The sequence below is a fragment of the Homo sapiens genome, chromosome 17 (genome assembly GCF_000001405.40).
Source record: "Homo sapiens chromosome 17, GRCh38.p14 Primary Assembly".
Taxonomy (NCBI): domain Eukaryota; kingdom Metazoa; phylum Chordata; class Mammalia; order Primates; family Hominidae; genus Homo; species Homo sapiens.
Genome location: NC_000017.11, coordinates 1855344 through 1878523, shown reverse-complemented (window position 1 = coordinate 1878523; position 23180 = coordinate 1855344). Strand labels below are relative to the sequence as shown.

The 23180-nt window shown below is 43.3% G+C and overlaps 1 protein-coding gene and 1 pseudogene across 3 annotated transcripts in view; one reads left to right on the top strand and one right to left on the bottom strand.

The window, feature by feature from the left end:
* RPA1 (replication protein A1) overlaps positions 1-23180 on the bottom strand; it is a 70078-nt gene that overhangs the window by 21559 nt on the left and 25339 nt on the right. For all 3 annotated transcript variants that reach the window (NM_001355120.2, NM_002945.5, NM_001355121.2), the window contains exons 6-8: positions 5998-6090; positions 2731-2863; positions 1210-1312 (exon numbers count right to left, since the gene is read on the bottom strand). In NM_001355120.2, coding sequence (NP_001342049.1) covers positions 1210-1312; positions 2731-2863; positions 5998-6090 — 329 coding nt within the window. The remainder of the gene's footprint in view (positions 1-1209; positions 1313-2730; positions 2864-5997; positions 6091-23180) is intronic.
* On the top strand, positions 20063-21245 carry SDHCP5 (SDHC pseudogene 5; annotated as a pseudogene).

The following is a 23180-nucleotide window of genomic DNA, read 5'->3' as shown; positions in this document are numbered from 1 at the left end:
ATGTTTGCAAGTTGCTTGTGATCTGATTTTCACTTTTGCTTTTCTGTCAGCCAAAATTTACAAGTGGACAAGAAATTTTAGCCAACCACCATACATTAGAGCAATAATTTCTAAAAAAAAATTAGGTTCTAATATTGATTCTGCCATCACACAAACATTTTGGGTGTTATATCAACTTCCAAAAAAAACATCTATTTTTTTCTCCCTATTTGGGAGTCTGAACAAACAGGAAATCTGCAGCACTTTGAAAAGAATGCTGAAGTACATTTTAGGAATTATTATTATTTTTGAGATGGAGTCTCACTCTGTCGCCCAGGCTGGAGTGCAGTGGTGCAATCTTGGCTGGCTCCAACCTCCACCTCCTTGGTTCAGGCGATTGATTCTCCTGCCTCAGCCTCCCAAGTAGCTGGGACTACAGGCACCTGCCACCATACCCAGCTAATTTTTGTATTTTTAGTATAAACGGGGTTTCACTATGTTGGCCAGGCTGGTCTCGAACTCCTGACCTCAAGTGATCTGTGCACCCTGGCCTCCCAAAGTGTTGGGATTACAGGCGTGAGCCACCACACCCGGCAATTTCAGGAATTATTAGCAAAACGAATGGACTGATTAACAGCTATCAAGACTGTCGTACTTCCATGGCATAGGAATTTTGTCTCATCGTCATGGTTTTGTTTAGTTTAAATAAAGCAAATAGAGAATCTGCACAGTCAGAACCCATTTCCCACAAAACCACTCCCATATCGAGGTCACAACTGTGTGCCTTCTGCTGTGTCCCAAAGCTCCACGGCGCTCACAAGCAGGCATCACCTCCCAGTGCTTCCAGTACACCTGCCAGCAAATCAGACTGTTTCCAGCTTCTCCTGCCCAGGAGGCTACTTATATATTTAGAAAACTACTTTCTACTGCTACAAACGCTGTCATTTAAGATCAAAGATTTTATTTATGACCTTAACCCTCTACTCCAGACAGCATCAAAAGACTATGACAGAGGGAAAAGCACAATAACAATCATGCTTCTCTCTGGCCTACTATTATTCTTCACCTCATAGGCCCGCAGAGCTGAGCCTTCTGTTTCTCGGCGAGCCCACTGCCCTCCGCAGAGCTGAGCCTTCTGTTTCCCAGCGAGCCCACTGCCCTCCGCAGAGCTGAGCCTTCTGTTTCCCGGCGAGCCCACTGCCCTCACTCCCCAGCATGACAAACACTCACACTTTCGTCAACCAGTTCTAGGGAGAAAAGCTTCCCTTCCCCTCGGGAGTTGCTCCAGGTACGGATCTGACTTTTGTTGGTAACACGAGCACAAATGGTCCACCTACAAACCAAATCGATCATATTAGTGTATGGGGTCTTCCTTGGAAAAGATCAAGTAAGAAATCATCTTCCTACAGCCTTTCTCGTCTTACGCATATTCCGTTTTCCAACCTGTATTTTAATCCAGCTAATTAAAACCCCAAGATGACACATGGGTTTGACAGTTTACAGAATAAGCAAATAGTAAAACATGCAAAGTGATTTAATACTAACTCATTCTCCTGTCAAATAAGTAAATTTATAAACTCTCTCCCTTCTCCAAAAAGCATCACCAAGGCAACCATATCCCCTTAATGAAAGGTTCTAAGCTGGAAAATACAGTAACACCAGCAATTATATTTTGCCACAGTTTTCAATTATGGGAACTGATATAACTGGTGTTACACTTCTGTCTCATTCGTAACACACCCTGAATAGAATACACGATGTTGGTGGACCATCAGGAAGAACACACTGAAGCAGCATGACCTTAGAGAGAAGCATGGAAAAAGGAGGCACAGGGCACATTAGGTACCCCACTTATAATTTCACAGGGAAAAATATCTTTCCTACGTTACAGAGTATTGAAGAATAAATATAAACATATCTGGAAGGATTCTGAAAAAAGAACTCTAATTTTTAACTATTCAAATTACTTTATTTTGTTTATTTATCTTGAGAGACGGAATCTCACTCTGTTACTCAGGCTGGAAGGCAGTGGCACAATCTTGGCTCACTGCAACCTCCGCCTCCTGGGTTCAAGCGATTCTTCTGCCTCAGCCTCCTGAGTAGCGGGGATTACAGGCGTGCTCCACAACACCTGGCTAATTTTTGTATTTTTAGTAGAGACACGGTTTCACCATGTTGGCCAGGCTGGTCTCAAACTCCCGACCTCAGGTGATCCACCCGCCTCAGCCTCCTAAAGTGCGGGGATTACGGGCATGAGCCACCGCGCCCGGCTTCAAATTAATTTTTGGTGGAAAAAAGTCATATAAAAGAAATTTATGTTCAGGGTATGTTCATGTGTTTAATACAAATAGTGCAGATTATTTTAGCCAACTAAACCAAAGACGAAGTCACCTGTTTATAGGAGAAGATTAAATGCCTTTTGAATTATCAGAAATATTTATTTTTACTCATAAGACTATCAACTGATTAAGCATTAAGTATTTTTAATTTCAAATTCTTTCAAAATGAATGAAACCCCACAGGCTATGGCAGATTGCTATTGTTACTATATTTTCCAACAAGAGTTAAAAGTTTGCCACAATTTGTACCCCTTTCCTCCTCAGCAAAAAAAAAAAAAAAAAAGAGTAAACCCATTCTATTTGGTGGTATTTGGTGGTGACCCTGAAGTTCACGCATAAATAACTCAAGAGTCCATAATAGCTTCTCCGATTTCATAAGTACACTCTGAACTTACTCTATGCAACAACTCACTTGGACTGGTAAGGAGTGAGGCTGGCAATGGGCACCACTTTGGACTGTGTTCCCCCAGAAGTGTGTGACAGGCTGGGACCTGCAGCTTTTCCAAATGTCTTTGAAGCACCATAAGCCTTAGAAACAGTAGAACCTTTAAAAACAAACGCAAACGAAAAGGAGTTATTACTATTCTACTTAGCTTTTTTATAGTAAGCTTTACAATAACTCTAAATTTTGGAGGTGCCACTAGTGAAATCATATAACATGAGAGGCAAAGCTTTTCCTTTTTATATGCAAGAGATACGCAGATCAAATAGAGACTGAGGCTGGAGGCTACAAAAGCAATCTAGGATGAAGGCTGCGCACACAGCAGCTCACTGCTATGTTTGCTGATGTCAGCCCCGAGGTCAAAGTAATAATGGTGACGAATCCAGACACTGCTGTTTCTGAAGGCCGCCCTCTTAAACACTTCTCTTGCCTCAACGGGCAAGATAATGGGTGAGAAAAAGAAAATCAACTTTTGTAACTGGTAAAACTGATGGCAAGGCACTAGTCACATGAAGAAAGACAGGATGTAAGGGACCTATCACAAATAGATCGCCTCCAAATCCCCAGACAACTCCCAGATCTCAATGCGTCTGAAGGACTAGCAAGTCTAGAATGAAGTCTGTAAGAATGAGTTTCGTCGGGTGCAAAGGGCAGGAATCAGTTTTTGGTCAAGATATGTTAAGTGGGTGACCACTAAGACCCTTCCGCCTCCTTAATCCAAACCTAAGCAGCTGCCCTGCGCTGGGAAAGAACAGGGAATCAGGTGAGTTCTTTTATACGCACCACGTATCTGCAAAACTCAACGTCCAAATTCAGAAAATATAATTTAGTTCAGTGATTTCATACCCTCTACATCAAAACATTTCTTCAGAATAGAATTTGGCTAAAAATATCAATACACCATCTATCCAGTATTTATTTACTGGGTTTCCACGGCATGTGCCACACCCTTCTAGGCATTCGTAGTAATTAGTAAAAAATATACATAGGAGTGTTTCTGTGTTGAAATTTTCTAACTGGGGAGTCGAGAGAGATCAATACACACACAATAGTAATTACCTCAAGATCGTGTAAGGACACACAGGTACTTTGTAGAATACATGTGTATACCCATACATAATATATAATTTTATAAAACACACACAAGCATCCATTCATCCAATCTATTTCATGCTGGGTAGCTTCTCCTCAGTACACATCCAGTTCATTTCCTTTCACTACATAGTTTAGGGAACATTAACTGATTTTCATTTTTTTGAGACAAGGTCTTGCTCTGTCCCCCAGGCTGGAGTGCAGGTGGCACGATCTTAGCTCGCTGCAGCCTCAAACTCCTGAGCTCAAACGATCCTCCCACTTCAGCTTCTTGAGTAGCTGGGACTATAGGTGTGCACCACCACGCCCAGCTGATTCTTAAAAAGATTTTTTTAGAGGGATCGGGTCTCACTATGTTTGGCTGGTGTCAAACTGCTGGGCTCAAGCAATCCTCCTGCCCTGGCCTCCCAAAGTGCTGGGATTACAGGTGTGAGCCACTGTGCCCAGCCCAGATTTTTAAAAATATATTTTAACATAAGGCAAAGATAGACAACCAGAAAAATAATTCTGTGGAGGGAGGGAGAGGAATAACGTACTATTTGTATATAAGCCTAAGGAAATGATTATTTACCACTTTAGAGAGTCTATTTCACCACTCTCTTCAAAAGTGTGTGTGTGTGTGTGTGTGTGTGTGTGTGTATATATATATATATATATATTTTTTTTTTTTTTTTTTTTTGAGACAGAGTCTCACTTTGTTGTCCAGGCTAGAGGGCACTGGCGCAAACTTGGCTCACTGCAACCTACGCCTCCTGGGTTCAAATGATTCTCATGCCTCAGCCTCTCGAGTAGCTGGGACTACAGGTGCACACCACCATGCCCGATTAATTTTTGTACTTTTAGTAGAGATGGGTTTTCACCATGTTGGCCAGGCTAGCTAGTCTCGAACTCCTGACCTCAAGTGATCCGTCCACCTCGGCCTCCCAGAGTGCTGGGATTATAAGCGTGAGCCACCAAGCCTGGCCAACAGCATGTAATTTTTGAGTTGTGTATAAATAGATCCTCTTATAAAAGGAGAGACAGAGCAAGAGAGAGAACGTGCAAGAGCGAGAGAGGTAGACGGATCGTGCAAGGTAGATTAAAAACAACAAAGGGCAAGGGGGAAAGTCCTGAGAGTTTCACAGAAACATCAGTGACATCTTAACCTTGCTTTTCTCAGAATCTTAGCACTGAAAAATAGAAACTAATAGTTGAGGGGAGGAGAGGAGGTGTATGTGAAGCCGTGACAGAAAAAAGGACCTCTAAAAATAAATCCAACCACATTCTACAAATCCAAATTTTCAACGGTGACTTCCCAGATCAAGAGGTTCCTAAAGTAAAGGCCAGAAAGTAAACAAAATGATTCCATTAATGCCTCTTAGGACCTGCTGCAGAGAAAAGTAAATGAAGAAACCATTTCTCATCCATGAAATTGAGAAGGAGAACCTATGACCAATATAAGTAATACTGTCTTCAAGCAAACGATAAACACCCACGAGGCCCAAAATAGGAAACTCGGAGAGAGATGAGCCAAACTTAGTAAGTGGGTCCTGGATAGTTAAAAGGCAAGAACTTAAAAGGAATGCAAAGTCAGAGGGTGTAAAACCTGATGATGTGGGAAACGAAGAAACTACTTGGTCAACTACTAACAGAGAAGAATGTATCAATTTGATCTTTTTTAAAAGTCTGGCTGTTAAGTATCTTTAAGATTATCTTTGGCTGGACACCCTGGCTCACACTTATAATCCCAGCACTTTGGGAGGCCAAGGACGGAGGACTGCTTGAGGCCAGGGCAGTTTGAGACCAGCCAGGGCAACATAGTAAGACACCATTTCTACAAAAAAATTAGCCAGGCATGGTGGCATGCGCCCATAGTACCAGCTACTTGGGAGGTTAAGGCTGCAACGAGCTGTGATGCTTCCACTGCACTCCAGCCCCGCTGACAGAGCAAGACCCTACTTCCAAAAAAAAAAAAAAAAAAAAAGACAATCTTTAATTATTTTTTCAATCACATACTCTAAAATATGAATCAGAATTATTCTTTCCAAGACACAACCCTGTAATGAATGGCATTTGGAAAACTCCCTTTAGTCCCAGATTCAACTTCAAAACATGATTCCGAAGTCTGACACCCCTGGTCAGCGCACGCCCCGTGAGGCATCTCACCCATTCCCGAGCTTCCATTCTGCGGCTGGGGCCTGCTGCTTGCTGCTGGGCTGGCTGCTGGCGCTGGAGGAGCTACTTGCGGCTGCCCGAGTCCTGAAGATCAAAAGGGAAACCCCGTTTTAGTGCAAAGGATTTGGGTTAAGAGATTTAAACTTGGGTAGAAGGAATGCTCTGGGAAAGTGTAAATTTTTTATTTTGTCAAAGACTCCCATGGATTAGAATTCGTGCTGAGGCATTCCATGGCACTCGGTGAATTTGCTAGGGGTTCACTTTTTGTTTTCATTACACAAAAGGTTGGCTCCATCTACCTTTCACCTGCTTAGAATTGATAGCCTTCAGTGTTAATGAGGTTCTCCCCTAAAGCCTTGCCCATTTCTCCTGCAACAACCTGCAGTAAAGTCACTGGGTTGAATCTGTGACATTACCACTATTTCCATAGCAACAAATCGATGTCATCAACAGAACCGTGTGTTCACGGCAGGATCAATCAGAAGAAAAAGCTGGGTGGTAAGAAAAACCTAAAAGCAGTTCAGTTGTCTCTGAAGTGCTCCTGCTTCAAAGGAACAGGAGACATTCAGAAAGGATTCCACCCTCTCCCTCCCAAACAAAGCAACCTTATTTTGCAACTGACAGTTGGTGGAAAAGGCAAGTTGAAAGAGTCTCCAGTACCATGAAGTGCTGGTGAACTGTCACAGCGGGGAGAGATGACAATGGGGTTCGGAAGCAGGTGTGTCAAGGAAACAGGAAGATTAAAAGTAAAGGGGGGGAAATGAGCGTGTCTCAAGCAGAAAATAAGAAATGCCACCATAAGAGCATGTATTTGCCATCACTCTTTACACAAATGTTGATGGAGCTGAAGAATGTTAAAACTGTAAAATATGCCTCATTTTGTGAAATAACAGATTTATGGAATTTGACTTTGCCTTAGTGATTGGCTCTAAAAGGCAGAAGTCAACCTCATGTGGGCAGCTCACCAAGGGTACTTGCAGCACACAAAGGCAACTCAAAAAACTTTCCTAGAGTGCCCTGAGAACAAAAATGGTACCCACGGCTGGGAGGGCTTCCCACCTGCCACCCTGTCTCTGCCTTCTCCAACTGCTGAGTTCGCATTCCTGCTGCGTTTTCCAAGGTCCTAACTCAAACGGGCACATTACACACTGATTTAATTTACTTCTGCCAATATTACTCTTAACTGGCACAACTAAATGAGAGGTGGTTGTGCCATTAGAGTAAAATAAATTTAGCATAAAATTAAAAAGGTTAAATAGAACTGTTTAGTTCTTCCTATGGAGAGAAAAATTGAGAGACCTTATTTACATAGAAAAAGAGCCAGATTATTGACAGTGAAATTTTTGTGTTTACATTTTGGCTTTTCCATTATCTCTGAATTTACAAAGCGTCACACAAAATAGCAAAGGAAAACTGCTCATCTCTGACAATGCATCTTGTGAAGGAACAGTCTAAAATTCTGCAGTGGACCTTTTTTAAAATCAATAGAAAAAGATGAGTTGCTCAGGAAATAGTATTGGGGCTAAGTGGCTGGAAAGAAATAGAACAAAAGCTGTATCTTTACCTGCTTCATGAATTATATTATTCAAGAGAATAAAGATGTAAACATTCAAAAACAGAAGAGTACCATAAAAATACATAAGCCCCTGCTACACTCCCTCCGACTTCCTCCCTCTCTTCTATCATCTCCAAAACCACTAAACTAGAAAATCCCCTGCTGAGATCATATCTGCTTAAGAACTTTGTTGAAAAGGATGTGGTCATCTGATCTTGCTGATCACATAGATTCAATTTCTATAAAAATGTAGCTAAATCTTAAGAGGTACCTAACAGACAAATTCCCAGGGACAGAAAGTAGAAGAGGGGTCACCAGAGAATGGCGGGAGTGGGGAATGGAGTAGTGTTTAATAGGCTCAAGAGTTTCGGTTTGGGATGATGAAAAAGTTCTGAAGATGGATGGTGATGATGGCTTACGCCAACGTTAATGGACTTAATGTCACTGAACTGTATGCTTAAAACTGCTCAAATGTAAATTTCATGTTAGGTAGTATTTTACCACAATTTTTAAAAATGTGACTTACCTTAGTTTACCTATTCTAAGATCCACATTTTTTTCACATTTTAACATGTAAATTAATGTCTTACCATCACTTCCTTTTAGCAGTACATAATGTAACAGTACAGTCTTGTGATCCCCGGATTCTGAGAGTCCATGAAGCACAGAATATTTAACAATCAAGCCCTGTAATACGTATGAATTACAGCTACCCTTTCTTGAGTGCTCACCCTGCTTCAGGTACTGCATTCAGGAGAGTGCAGGTACGTGCATTGCTACAGTGCCTGCCAGCCCTAGGATGTAGACACTATTATCATACCCTTTAACAGGTGAGAACGCTGGGTTAGAGGAACCACGTAACTGGCTCAAATCACACAGCTGGGAAGCAGGACATCTGCTTGAACCGAGGCTTTTATGACTAGATCCATGTACTTCATCATCATCTAGGTAATTGTTAACTGTGAACGACCAATTCTGGCAGCCGCAACTCTAGTTGTGAGATCTGGTAATTAGGAAAAGCTACTAATCCACTTACTAGAGCAATCCTTAACTCCTGCTCTGGACCAGATGTGCAAATCTGGCACAAGAGACGAGAGACAGCCCGGAGCCAAATGGACGGCAAGAATCCGGTGCATTCTACATAGCAACATGTTGCAGTGCATGTTGTGAATGGCAAGGGGCCACGAGACCCCAGAAAAATCAGTCTACAGCTAAGTAAAAATCCTTCTAAAAATTAAATTACACCCCAAAGCAGTAATGCAGAGACTTAACTTCTGACACATCTTCTGCTTTGTGTCACCTGCAAATCAAACCATTCTAATAAGACAGGTCAACATCATGGTTCTCAGACTCTTTTGCTCTATGCTAGCTTTACATATCACTGGCTTTGACCTAGGGGGAAAATAGGATTTTTTTTTTTTTTTGAGACGTAGTCTCGCTCTTGTTACCCAGGCTGGAGTGCAACGGCGCCATCTCGGCTCACTGCAACCTCCGCCTCCCGATTTCAAGAGATTCTCCTGCCTCAGCCTCCCGAGTAGCTAGGATTACAGGCGCTGGCCACCACACCCAGCTAATTTTTGTGATTTTTAGTAGAGACAGGGTTTCACCATGTTGGCCAGGCTGGTCTCAAACTCCTGACCTCAGGTGACCCGCCCACCTCAATCTCCCAAAGTGCTGGGATTACAGGCATAAGCCACCATGCCCGGCCGAAACAGGATATTTCAGAGCAGACTCTTAGCACCTCAAATTATTTGCACTCACACCTATCATTTTTATCATTATAATGGTTAAGTGAGCCATCGCAGAGAAAAATTCGCTAAACAGACAATGGAGAATAAGGGCAACAAAAAATTCAACTTCTACCAGTAAGTACTTTCTTAACAACTACAAACAATATGTAGAAGAGTCAATCCAATAATTTACAATTGCCTCTTGGCAGAAAATGGATGAAATCAGGCTGAAAGAAATTTCAACTAATGTCTTTCAATAATAAGTAACACTAATAATTAAGTATTGTGTAACAAATTTTAGTCAAAGTAAAATATTGTTAGCCATAGTATAGGTGCATGGAACTTATATACGCAGACAAAAATACAGTGGTAAATACGGGAGACTTTAAAATCATCTAATTCAATATAGTATGAAGCACGAATTATGTCTGAAGTTTTATTTCTCACACTTTGAAAATTCTATAAATATCAGACAATTTCTTTTTTCTTTTCCTGAGACGGGGTCTCGCTGTGTTGCCCAAGCTGGAGGGCAGTGGCGCGATCTCAACTCACTGCAACCTCAGTCTCCCAAGTAGCTGGGATTACAGGTACCCGCCATCACGCCTGGCTAATTTTTCTATTTTTAATAGAGATAGGGTTTCACCATGTATGCCAGGCTGGTCTCGAACTCCTGATCTCAAATGATCCACCCGCCTCGGCTTCCCAAAGTGCTGGCATTACAGGAGTGAGCCACCGTGCCCCGCCAAGACAATTTCAACGCACATTTTGGAATTCCTGCCTATTTGTGGGCTAGACTTAATTGTACTGGTCACCTCACATGGCACAAGTTCTGGATTAGGTGCTGGGAGGATACAAAATGAACTTTAGTTCTCCACCCGCTAGCACAGAGTGTGCGTCCTTTCCCAACAGAGGAGAAAGCACTGCGGTGAAATGCCCCGTGAGGTAGAAGTCACTATAAGAAAGCTATTTCCGCACTGGCTCACTGATCTGGTTACAACGAAATTCGAGAGTAAGTAATCCTGAACAGCAATCTTATCCCCCTGAGCTTTAACAGACACTGGAGAAAGGAAAGGCCCAGTGGAGCTGGGTACTGAAATAAAGGAATATTTTTCCATAGCCCTATGTTTATTTTCTTTTTTTTTCCCCCTTGAGACAGGGTATTGCTCCAATGCCCAGGTTGGAGTACAGCGGCATGATCATAGCTCACTGCAGGCCTTGACCTCCTGGCCTCAAGCAATCCCCCGACTCGGCCTCCCCGGCAGGTGGAACTAGTTACACGAGATCACGCCTGGATTATTTTTTGTATTTTTTTTTGTAGAGACTACTTTTGTCTCTACAGCTACCCAGGCTGATCTTTAACTCCTGGGCGCAACTGATCCTCCTGCCTCGACCTCCCAAAGTGCTGCGATTACAGGTGTCAGCCATGGCACCCGGCCCATAGCCCTGTATTTCTGACTAAGCAATAAGTATCCTTCAATCCTTTCATCATCTCCATCTTCTTTTTCTTTTTAATTTTTTTTTTGAGACAGGGTCTTGATCTGTCACCCAGGCTGGAGTGCACTGGTGTGATTACAGATCACTGCAGCCTTGACCTCCTGGGCTCAAGTGATCCTCCCACCTCGACTTCCCGAGTAGCCAGGACTAGAGGAGTGTGCTATCAGGCCTGGATAATTTTTTTGTTTGTTTTCTGTAGAGACAGGGTCTCACTATGTTGCCCAGGCCAATCTTGAATTCCTGGTCTCCAGCGATCCTCCTGCCTCAGCCTCCCAAAGTGTTGGGACTGAAGGTATGAGCCACTGAGCCCAGCCCATCTTCACTATAAACACTTTTGCCCCCAAAACAGAAAATGTCCAAAGCAATCATTCAATTAAATACAACACACACACACACACACAAACACTAGAAACCTGGCCAGAGGTGATAAAGCTGGGCACAATCACCTCTCTCTTGTCCTGACTGCATCCAAAGGTTTCAGAAAAATGCTAAGCATTGCTTTGTCTCAGCTCACCTTCCTGAAAGCTGAGAATGTGATAACAAATTCGCTCATTTTAACAAAACGTTACTACTGCAAAAAAAAGTGATGTGTCAATTTAATAATTTAGCCGAATAATTTACCCGATTCCCTCTCCAATTTAAAGCATCAAATTACAATTTGTGTAAATAAAAATTAATATCTAGTAGGTTCCAGTTCTAGAAAGAGCATAATGATGGCCTAGCCCCACATCTTCCCACTCTAAAAACCAATACAGAGCAACAGGAATGAATGCCAACTGCATACACATACATGCACGTGCACACAGACGTATACACATCTCTCATTAGAAACGACATCTTCAGTGAAACCAGGGAACAGAGAAAACCCGCACATTCCAAGTTGTGTGAAAATGAAGCCCGAAACACCATAAATCAAGAACCCACAACAGTATAAGACAGAAGCAGCATGAATAATTTCAGTGTAAAAACTAAAACGGTGGCCGGGCACAGCGGTCCCCGCCTGTAATCCCAGCACTTCGGGAGGCAGAGGTGGGCAGATCACCTGAAGTCAGGAGTTTGAGACCAGCCTGGCCAACATGGTAAAACCCCATATCTATTAAAAATATAAAAAAATTAGCCGGTGGCCGGGCGCAGTGGCCCACGCCTATAATCCCAGCACTTCGGGAGGCAGAGGTGGGCAGATCACTTGAAGTCAGGAGTTCGAGACCAGCCTGGCCAACATGGTAAAACCCCATCTCTACTAAAAATATAAAAAATTTAGCCGGGCGTGGTGGTGGGCTCCTGTGGTCCCAGCTACTAGGCAAGCTGAGACAGGAGAACTGCTTGAACCCAAGAGGCAGAGGTTGCACTGAGCCGAGATTGCGCCATTGCACTCCACCCTGGGTGACAGAGAGACTCCGTCTCAAAAAAAGAAAAAAGAAAAAAAAAAGATCTCTAAGCATATACAAGTATATGGGATTATCTCTAGGCCAAAAAAAAATTTTTTTGTTGTTTTTTGAGATGGAGTCTCACTCTGTCACCCAGGCTGGAGTGTAGTGGCACAGCCCTGGCTCACTGCAGCCTCTTTCTCCCAGGCTCAAGTGATCCTCTCACCTCAGCCTCCCGGGTGGCTAGGACTGCAGGTGTACACCACCACGCCTGGCTAATTTTCTGTATTTTTGGTAGAGACAGGGTTTCGTCATGTTGCCCAGGCTGGTCTTAAACTCCTGAGCTCAAGCGATCTGCCAAGCTTGGCCTCCCAAAGTGTCGGGATTACAGGCGGGGGCCACCACACCTGGCCAGAAAACTTTAAAAAAACAGGATATGGCTGGGCGCAGCGCTCACGCCTGTAATCCTAGCACTTTGGGAGACTGAAGTGGGAGAATCGCTTGAGCCCAGGAGTTTGAGACCAGCCTGAACAGCATAGTGAGGTCTCATCTCTATTAAAATAATAATAAATAAGTAAAAGCAGGAGAAAAAGACACGATAGTGTACACAGTATGCTGCCTTTTGTGTAGGCAAAGTGGAGTACGGAACGAGAATATATATTTGTATTTGGTTACATTCTCATGAAGAAACGCCTGAAGGATAAAAAGAAACCACGAAAACTTTACCTCTAGAGGGCAGCAGTGGGTGGCAGGGGCGGCAAGGGTAGGAGTAAGATTTCTCTGCACACACAATTCGGTAGCTATAACTTTAAATCATGTAACTACATTATCTTTTTGAAATCATTTAACCATATTATCTATTCAAGATTAATGTTTATTAAAGAAAACAGATGTCTGATTATCTCAGTTATATTTTACATTTATTTAATTATGCAAGTTTTAATGGACAAATATATAAATGTGAAATAGAGATAATTTTAATTATGTATATAACATTCCCGCAGTAGACTCACTCACACGATCTATGTACTTAAATACAATTTTCAAGTAGGCAAAAACTTTGGTATGAAGGTTAATCTTTGAAGGTCCGGGCACAATGGAAACTGTTCTCACTGGGAAATGACAAATGCTCATTCTCATTTCTTGTAGCAACCCATTGTGTGACCTTGGGGAAGTTACTTCACTGCCTCATTCACGTTTTTATTTAATGATTAAAAACTGATCAACTGATCTCTACAACAGTTTCCTCTACCTCAACATTCTGCGATTGTGCTGAATTCACTGCTAAGGTCCAGACCTGAGATTCTCCAACTTTCCTTTCCTTTCCATTATCTCACTTAGGCAAAGGCCAGGACTCAGTTCCAGGTAGGAAAACGAAGACAGGATGCAAGAATTACTTCCCACCTCAGCTTTCCCAGTAGCTGGGAGCGTGAACCACCACGCCCAACTAATTTGTTTTTATTTTATTTTTTTGAGACAAGTCTCACTCTGTCGCCCAGGCTGGAGTGCAATGGCACAATCTCGGCTCACTGCAACTTCCACCTCCCGGGCTCAAGTGATTCTCCTGCCTCAGCCTCCCGAGTAGCTGGGATTACAGGTGCCCGCCACCACACTCGGCTAATTTTTTTTATTTTTAGTAGAGACGGCGTTTCACCATGTTGGCCAGGCTGGTCTTGAACTCCTGACCTCAGGTGATCCACCTAAGGTCCAGCCTAAGAATTACTGGGTTCAATTCCACTTACCCTTAAGTGAAAACCCTACTAATAGTAAAAGTTAGTTATGGACTAATTGAAGAACTATGTTGTTAAAGTTATTTTTATTTATTTATTTTTGAGACAGAGTTTCACTCTTGTTGTCCAGGCTGGAGTACAATGGTGCAATCTCAGCTCACTGCAACCTCCGATTCCCAGGTTCAAGCGATTCTCCTGCCTCAGCCTCCCTAGTAGCTGGGAATACAGGCGCGTGCCACTATGCCCAGCTAATTTTTTTGTATTTTTAGTAGAGACGAGGTTTCACCATGTTGGCCAGGCTGGTCTCAAACTCCTGACCTCAGGTGATTCGCCCACCTCAGCCTCCCAAAGTGCTGGGATTACAGGCATGGGCCACTATGCCCCGCATATATTGGTAAATTTAAATTAAGACAGTGAATTAGTGTACTTCAGTGGGAACCAGCTAAGCACCTTTGTCTATTGGGAGCAGCAGAGACAGTTTAATTTTTAAGAAACAGCTCCTTCTCTGAGTTCAAACATAGCTTCCTACTGAGAAATCATTTGGGAAGGAGGAGATACACAGCGGAAGATTTCAAATAAGCCACATGAACATCTTCCAGCTTCTTGATGCTGACCAGCTTAAAGTCGATTTTATATTTTCAATGTCACAGTTATAATTAGTTAATATATGTACTTAATTAGTTATATGTTATTAAAATTATTCAATACACTCTGAACATTTCTTTTCTATAAATTATATCACAAATTTTTTTCCAAATATTCATGATTGACCATCATCTCTTAGTGACTTCAGATTTAGTTCAAAAATTGGCTGATTAGTAAAACAATAAAATTATGTTGTTCTGATTACTAAAAATATCTGAAAACATAACAACCATTTGAAAATTGCCTTCTACAAGTATGTTTTGAAAACTTTAAATTTTTAATAAAGCAAGATATGTTTCATAGAAAAACTTCAATCTGACTGGCCATTTAAATTTTGATGTCGGCCCCCTGCAGGGGCTCACGTTCGTAATCCCAGCACATTGGGAGACCGAGGCAGGTGGATTACCTGAACTCAGGAGCTCAAGACCAGCCTGGACAACATGGCAAAACTCTGTTTCTACAAAAAAATATAAAAAGTAGTTGGGGCCAGGCACGGTGGCTCACACCTGTAATCCCAACACTTTGGGAGGCCAAGGTGGGTGGATCACCTGAGGTCAGGAGTTCGAGACCAGCCTGGCCAACGTGGTGAAACGCCGTCTCTACTAAAAATAAAAAAAATTAGCTGAGTGTGGTGGCGGGCACCTGTAATCCCAGCTACTCGGGAGGCTGAGGCAGGAGAATCGCTTGAGCCCGGGAGGTGGAGGTTGCAGTGAGCCGAGATTGTGCCATTGCACTCCAGCCTGGGTGACAGAGTGAGACTCGTCTCAAAAAAATAAAATAAAATAAAATAAAATAAAATAAAATAAAATAAATTAGTTGGGCGTGGTGGTTCACGCTCCCAGCTACTGGGAAAGCTGAGGTGGGAAGATCACTTGAGCCTGGGAGGTTGAGGCTACAGTAAGCCCTTTTTGAGCCACTGCACTCCAGCCTGGATGGCAAAGCAAGAACCTGTCTCCAAATAACTAAATAAATAAATCTTGGCCGGGCACGGTGGCTCACGCCTGTAATCCCAACACTTTGGGAGGCTGAGGCAGGCAGATCACCTGAGGTCAGCAGTTCGAGACTAGCCTGGCCAACATGGTGAAACTTCGTCTCTACTAAAAATACAAAAATTAGCTGGGCGTGGTGGCGGGCACTTGTAATCCCAGCTACTTGGGAGCCTGAGGCAGGAGAATCACTTGAACCCGGGGGAGGTTGCAGTGAGCGGAGATCGTTCCAGTGCACTCCAGCCTGGGCAACAAAGCAAAACTTCATCTCAAAAAAAAAAAAAAAAAAAAAAGCTGGGCACAGTGACTCACGCCAATAATCTTAGCACTTTAGGAGGTCAAGGTGGGCGGATCACTTGAGGTCAGGGGATCGAGACCAACCTGGCCAACATGGTGAAACCCCATCTCTACTAAAAATACAAAAATTAGCTGGGCATGGTGGTGTGTGCCTGTAATCCCAGCTACTGGTGAGGCTGAGGCATGAGGATAGCTTGAACTGGGAGGTGGAGGTTGCAGTGAGCCAAGATCATGCAACTGCACTCCAGCCTGGGCAACAAAGTGAGACTCCATCTCAAATAAATAAATAAATAAATAAATATTGAGCTAATCGATATTAACATCTACTTCTTCCATGTGGACAGCAGGGACAAGAGAGGTATAAGAGAGCTACATTCTAAGCTGGGCGCTGTGGCTCACACCTGTAATCCTGGCACTTTGGGAGGCTCAGGTGGGCGGATTGCTTGAGCCCAGGAGTTCAAGACCAGCCTGGACAACATAGACTCCATCGCTACAAAAAAAAAAAAAAAAAAAAAAAAATACGGTTGGGGGCGGTGGCTCACGCCTGTAATCCCAGCACTTTGGGAGGCTGAGGCGGGCAGATCACGAGGTCAGGAGATGGAGACCATCCTGGCTAACACAGTGAAACCCCGTCTCTACTGAAAATACAAAAAAAATCACCCGGGCATGGTGGTGGGTGCCTGTAGTCCCAGCTACTCAAGCAGGAGAATGGCGTGAATCCGGGAGGTGGAGCTTGCAGTCAACCGAGACCGCGCCACTGCACTCCAGCCTGGGCGACACAGTGAGACTCCGTCTCAAAAAATAAAAAAATAAAAACAAAAATTAGCAGGGTGCAGTGGTGCACGCCTGTAATCCCAGCTACTGAGGAGGCTGAGGCAAGGAGGATTGCTTGAGTCCAGGAGGCGGAGGTTGCAGTGAGCCAAGATCACGCCACTGGACTCCAGCCTGGGTGACAGTGTGAGACTCTTAAAAAAGAAAAAAAAAAAAGAGAGAGCACCACATTCTAATCTCCCATAGCGTGAAGTTAATAAACAAATGTTTCAACTGAAAAAATTAACGAAGAGCAGCACAAATGTGTTATTTAGAAATATGGAGACAAACAGAGAAGAAACAGCTGTGAGATTTGAAACAGACTGTCTCTAGACAGGAGTCAGAGGCCAAAGAAAAGTGAGGCAGGAGAATGCTGTTTTGTTTTTAAGGACACACCTCGCAAAAATATTCAACTTTTAAAACTACGTACCGGACAAATGGAGCAACAGAGACCAGGTTCACCCTAACACCTAACATAACCCCCTCCCCCCACCAGAAAGGGAGAAAATACGTGAGACGCATGGTTTTCAATGAGGGGTAGCGCCTGCTGTGCACAGGAAAGCGAGCGAGTGGGTCTGCACCAGCTCAGTGCCTCAAGGGCTTAGGGGGCCTGCCAGAACCCGAGGTGCAGAAATGGGGGCCGAGAGTCTGGGGAGATCGCCGTCTAGCTGGCCGGACAGAGTAGCAGAGAAGAGAGGGCTGTACACAGAGAACTCCAGAAATGGGTGGCAGGTTTCCTGGGTAGTCAGCAGAGTCCTGGTTGGCCCGTGTGTGTGTGTGGACACGATCTGAGGCCAGGGTGAGAATCATCTGAGAAGGCCAGAGGGAACCATGCCTGTGTTTACAGCAAGCTTGAAATAGTACCTGTTTCTACCAGTCAGATGGGAAAAATTCATATTCATGGGGCACGAGGTAGAACAGTCTGTCAGGTCTCGATTCAGTATTGGGAATAACTACACCTAGACTAAATGCAGCTCTCTGATTCTCTAATAAATCTTAAAAGCAACACACCAAAAGATCAAACTGTCTCCAAGTTAACTGTATCCCTGAAAAAAGCTCAAGAATAATTACAGGATTACAAAAGTTTCTAGCACCCAACGAGGTACGAATCCCAATGTCTGGCATTCGGTCCGAGGGCCAGGCATGAAAAGCAGCAGGAAAATATGATCCATGATCGGAGAGGCCGGGATCAACTGACGGAAACAAATCCGGACCTAACACAGACACCAGAATCCACAGACAAGGACCTTACAACAAATACTGTCATTGTGCTCTGTATGTCCCAAAAATTAAGCAGAGATGTAGATGAGTTTTTAAAGACCCAAAATCAAGCTTCTAGGGATAAAAACTATACTATCTGAGAAGAAAAATACACTCAATGGGATTAACAGCAGATTAGGCACTGCCTGAGAAACCATTAGTGAACTTGAACGGCTAGCAATAGAAAGTATACACAATGGCCAGGCACAGTAGCTTATGCCTGTAATTCAGCCTTTTGAGAGGCTAAGGCAGGAGGATTGAGGCCAGGAGTTTGAGACCAGCCTGGGCAACAAAGTGAGACCCCGCCCCTACAAATAAAAAGAAAAGAAATGAGCCGGGCGTGGTGGCACTGCCGTCCCAGCCCCAGTCCAGGCAGTCCACAGGCAGGCCCGGCACTCCACCTCCCAGACTACAGGTGCAGCCTGCAGTCCCAACTACTTGGGAGGCTGAGGCAGGAGGATTGCTGGAGGCCAGGAATTCAAGACCAGTGTGGGCAACATGGCAGGACTCCATGTCCACAAAAAATAAAATTAGGCCAATTATGGTGGCTCACGCCTTTAACCCCAGCACTTTGGGAGGCTGAGGCGGGCAGATCATGACGTCAAGAGATGGAGACCATCCTGGCCAACATGGTGAAACCCTATCTCTACTAAAAATACAAAAATCAGCTGAGCATGGTGATGCGTGCCTGTAGCCCTAGCTACTCAGGAGGCTGAGGCAGGAGAATCGCTTGAACCTGGGAGGCGGAGGTTGCAGTGAGCCGAGATCACGCCACTGCACTCCAGCCTGGCAACAGAGTGAGACTTCGTCTCAAAAATAAATAAATAAATAAAAAACAAAATAAAATTAGCTGGGCGTGGTGGCACATGCCTGTAGTCCCAGCTACTCAGGAGGCGGAGGTGGGAGGATTGCTTGAGCCCAAGGTGTTGAGGCTGCACTGAGCCGTGAATGTACCACTGTACTCCAGCCTGGGCAACAGAGCAAGATGTTGTCTCTAGGAGAGAAAAAACAAAACAAAACAAAAAAAACGCCAAAGTGGCTATGCTAATATCAAAGCAGACTTCAAAGCACAGAATTTCCCAGGGATAAAATCATTTCATAATAATAAGAGTCAACTCATCAAGTGGACACAAGAATTCTAAATTATATAGATATTTAATAATACAGCTTTGAAATACATGAAGCAAAAACTAATAGAACTGCAGAGAGACAGAGAAACTTACAATTATTACAGTTAGAGATTTCAATATCCCTCTCAGTAAATGACAGAACAAGTAAACAGAAAAACAGTAAAGATATAGAAAAACTGAATAACACAATTTACCGACTCGACCTAATTGACATTTGTAAGACTCTGCCCAACAACAGAATACACATTCTTTTCAAGTACACACAGAATTTACCAAGAGAGACCATAATCTGGACATAAAATAAGACTCAAGGCTGGGGAAGGTGGGTCACTCCTGTAATCCCAGCACTTTGGGAGGCCAAGGCAGGCAGATCATCCGAGGTCAGGAGTTTGACACCAGCCTGGCTAACACGGCAAAACCCTGTCTTTACTAAAAATACAAAAATTAGCCAGGCATGGTGGCAGGCACCTGTAGTCCTAGCTACCTGGGAGGCTGAGATAGGAGAATCGCTTGAACCTGGGAGGTGGAGATTGCAGTGAGCCAAGATCATGCCACTGCACTCCAGCCTGGGTGAAAGAGTGAGTCTCTGTCTCAAAAAAAAAAAAAAAATAAAATAAAAATAAATAAATAAAATAAAACAAAATAAGACAATACATTTAACAGGATTCAAGTCATACAAAGTATGTTGTTTGATCATACTAGAATTAAATTAGATATCAAGAACAAGATCTCTAGAAAATACCCACATTTGGCTGGCACGATGGCTCATGTCTGTAATTCCAGCACTTTGGGAGGCTGAGGCACGCAGATCACTTGAGGGCAGGAGTTCAAGACCAGCCTGGCCAACATGGCAAAACCGCGTCTCTACTAAAAATATAAAAAATTAGCCAGGCATGGTGGCACACACCAATAGTCCCAGCTACTCAGGAGGCTGATGTGGGAGGATCGCTTGAACCCGGGAGGCGGAGGCTGCAGTGAGCCGAGATTGTGCCACTGCACTCTAGCCTGGGTGACAGAGCAAGACTCTGTCTCAAAAAAAAAAAGAAAAAGAGAGACCAGAACCCAAGATGGCTGCGCTGTTGCTGAGACACGTTGGTCGTCATTGCCTCCGAGCCCACTTTAGCCCTCAGCTCTGTATCAGAAATTGGTCTCTTCCCATGGCGATGTCCATCTGCCACCGTGGCACTGGTATTGCTTTGAGTGCAGGGGTCTCTCTTTTTGGCATGTCGGCCGTGTTACTCCCTGGGAACTTTGAGTCTTATTTGGAACTTGTGAAGTCCCTGTGTCTGGGGCCAGCACTGATCCACACAGCTAAGTTTGCACTCGTCTTCCCTCTCATGTATCATACCTGGAATGGGATCCGACACTTGATGTGGAACCTAGGAAAAGGCCTGAAGATTCCCCAGCTATACCAGTCTGGAGTGGTTGTCCTGGTTCTTACTGTGTTGTCCTCTATGGGGCTGGCAGCCATGTGAAGAAAGGAGGCTCCCAGCATCATCTTCCTACACATTATTACATTCACCCATCTTTCTGTTTGTCATTCTTATCTCCAGCCTGGGAAAAGTTCTCCTTATTTGTTTAGATCCTTTTGTATTTTCAGATCTCCTTGGAGCAGTAGAGTACCTGGTAGACCTTAATAGTGGAAAACGGTCTAGTTTTCCCCTTGTTTCTAAAGATGAGGTGGCTGCAAAAACTCCCCTTTTTTGCCCACAGCTTGCCTACTCTCGGCCTAGAAGCAGTTATTCTCTCTCCATATTGGGCTTTGATTTGTGCTGAGGGTCAGCTTTTGGCTCCTTCTTCCTGAGACAGTGGAAACAATGCCAGCTCTGTGGCTTCTGCCCTGGGGACGGGCCGGGTGGGGGGTGGGTTGGTGAGGCTTTGGGTGCCACTACCTGTGGGTTGCTGGCTTAAAGGACAATTCTCTTCATTGGTGAGAGCCCAGGCCATTAACACCTACACAGTGTTATTGAAAGAAGAGAGGTGGGGGTGGAGGGGAATTAGTCTGTCCCAGCTAGAGGGAGATAAAGAGGGCTAGTTAGTTCTTGGAGCAGCTGCTTTTGAGGAGAAAATATATAGCTTTGGACACGAGGAAGATCCAGAAAATTATCATTGAACATATTAATGGTTATTTCTTTTTCTTGGATTTCCAGAAAAGCCTCTTAATTTTATGCTTTCTCATCGAAGTAATGTACCCTTTTTTTCTGAAACTGAATTAAATACTCATTTTATCTTTGAAAAAAAAAAAAGAAAAAGAAAAAGAAAAAAAGAGAAAATCCCCACATTTAAAAACTAAACACATTTCTAAATAACAGAATGTTAATGATGAAATTGAAAGGGAAATAAGAAAGTATTATGAATTGAATATGAATGAGAATATAACATATCCAAATTTGCTGGATACTTTTAAAGCAGTAGCTAAGGGCAGATTTATAATGCTACATGCCTATGTTAGAAAAAAAGATCTCAAGTCAATGAACTCAGCTTCCACCTTAAGAAACGAGAAAAAAATATACAAAACCCGAAGTAAGTAGAAGAAAATAAAGATAAAAAGCATAAATCAATAGAATACAAAACATAAGAGAAAATCAATAAAACCAAAAGTTGCTCCTTTGAGATCAATAAGATTGATGAAACTCTCAAATTCTACAGACACTCAAAGGATAACAAGGAAACATATATGTATGTTATATAATATATATATATGCTATAATTCCAGCACTTTGGGAGGCTGAGGCAGGCAGATCACTTGAGGGCAGGAGTTCGAGACCAGCCTGGCCAACATGGCAAAATCCTGTCTCTACTAAAAATATAAAAAATTAAATAAAAAAAGTAAATTAAAAAAGTAAAAATTAAATAAAAATAAAAATTAAATAAATAAATAAAAACTATATATAGTTTCGTTTTGTTTTGTTTTGAGACAGAGTCTCATTCTGTCGGCCCAGCTGGAGTGCCCGTGGCATGATCTCAGCTCACTGCAACCTTCGCCTCCCGGGTTCAAGTGATTCTCCTGCCTCAGCCTCACGAGTGGCTGGGACTACAGGTGCGTGCCACCACGCCTAGATAATCTTTGTATTTTTTCAGTAGAGACAAGGTTTCACCATATTGGCCAGGCTGGTCTCCAACTCCTGACCTCGTGATCCGCCCGCCTCAGCTTCCCCAAAAGTTTTGGGATTATGGGCGTGAGCCACAGCACCTGGCATTTTTTTTTTTTTTTATGGGGTCTCACTCTGTCACCCAGGCTAGAGTGCACTGGTGCCATCTCGGCTTACTGCAACCTCCACCTCCCGGGCTCAGGTAGCTGGGACCACAGGTGCAGGAGCGCCACCACATCCAGCTAATTTTTTGTATTTTTGGTAGAGACTGGGTTTTATCATGTTGCGCAGGCTGGTCTTGAACTCCCAAGCGCAAGCGATCGGCTTGCCTCGTTCTCCCAAGGTGTTGGGATTACAAGTGTGAGCCACTGCACCCAGCTGGAAATATATTTTTTAAATCCATCTGATAATTTCTAATAATTGGGGTGTTTAGAATATTTATATTTCTATAGACTAATAAATTCAAGAACTTAAATGAAATTAAATTCCTTGAAGCACATAATCTACCAAAGTCTACTCAAGAAGGGTGCTTGAATAACCCTGTATCTCTCTATTAAAGAAACTGAACTTACAGTTTAAGACTTTTCCATTAAAAAAAAAAAATCAGGCCCAGATGACTTCACTGGTGAATTCAACTGAACATCTAAGGAAGAAGTACCAAGTCTACATAAACTGCTGCAGAAAATTTAAGAACGGAACACACTTCCCAACTTATTCCATAAGGCCAGGGTTACTCAGGTATCAAAATCAGAGATGTAACAATAGAAGAAAACTAAAGAAAAATATCTCTCGTGAATACCGATACAACAATTCTAAACAAAGTAAATCAGATCAAAGGGATATAGCAAATCAAATCCAACAATATGTAAAAAGAATAATACATCATGACATAGACTTATCCCAGAGATCCCAGATTGGTTTAGCGCTCAAAAACCAATCAACGTGGCTGAGCGCAATGTAATCCCAGCACTTTGGGAGGCCCAGGCGGGTGGACCACTTGAGGTCAGGAGTTCGAGACCAGCCTGGCCAACATGGCAAAACCCTGTCTCTACTAAACACACACACACACACACACACA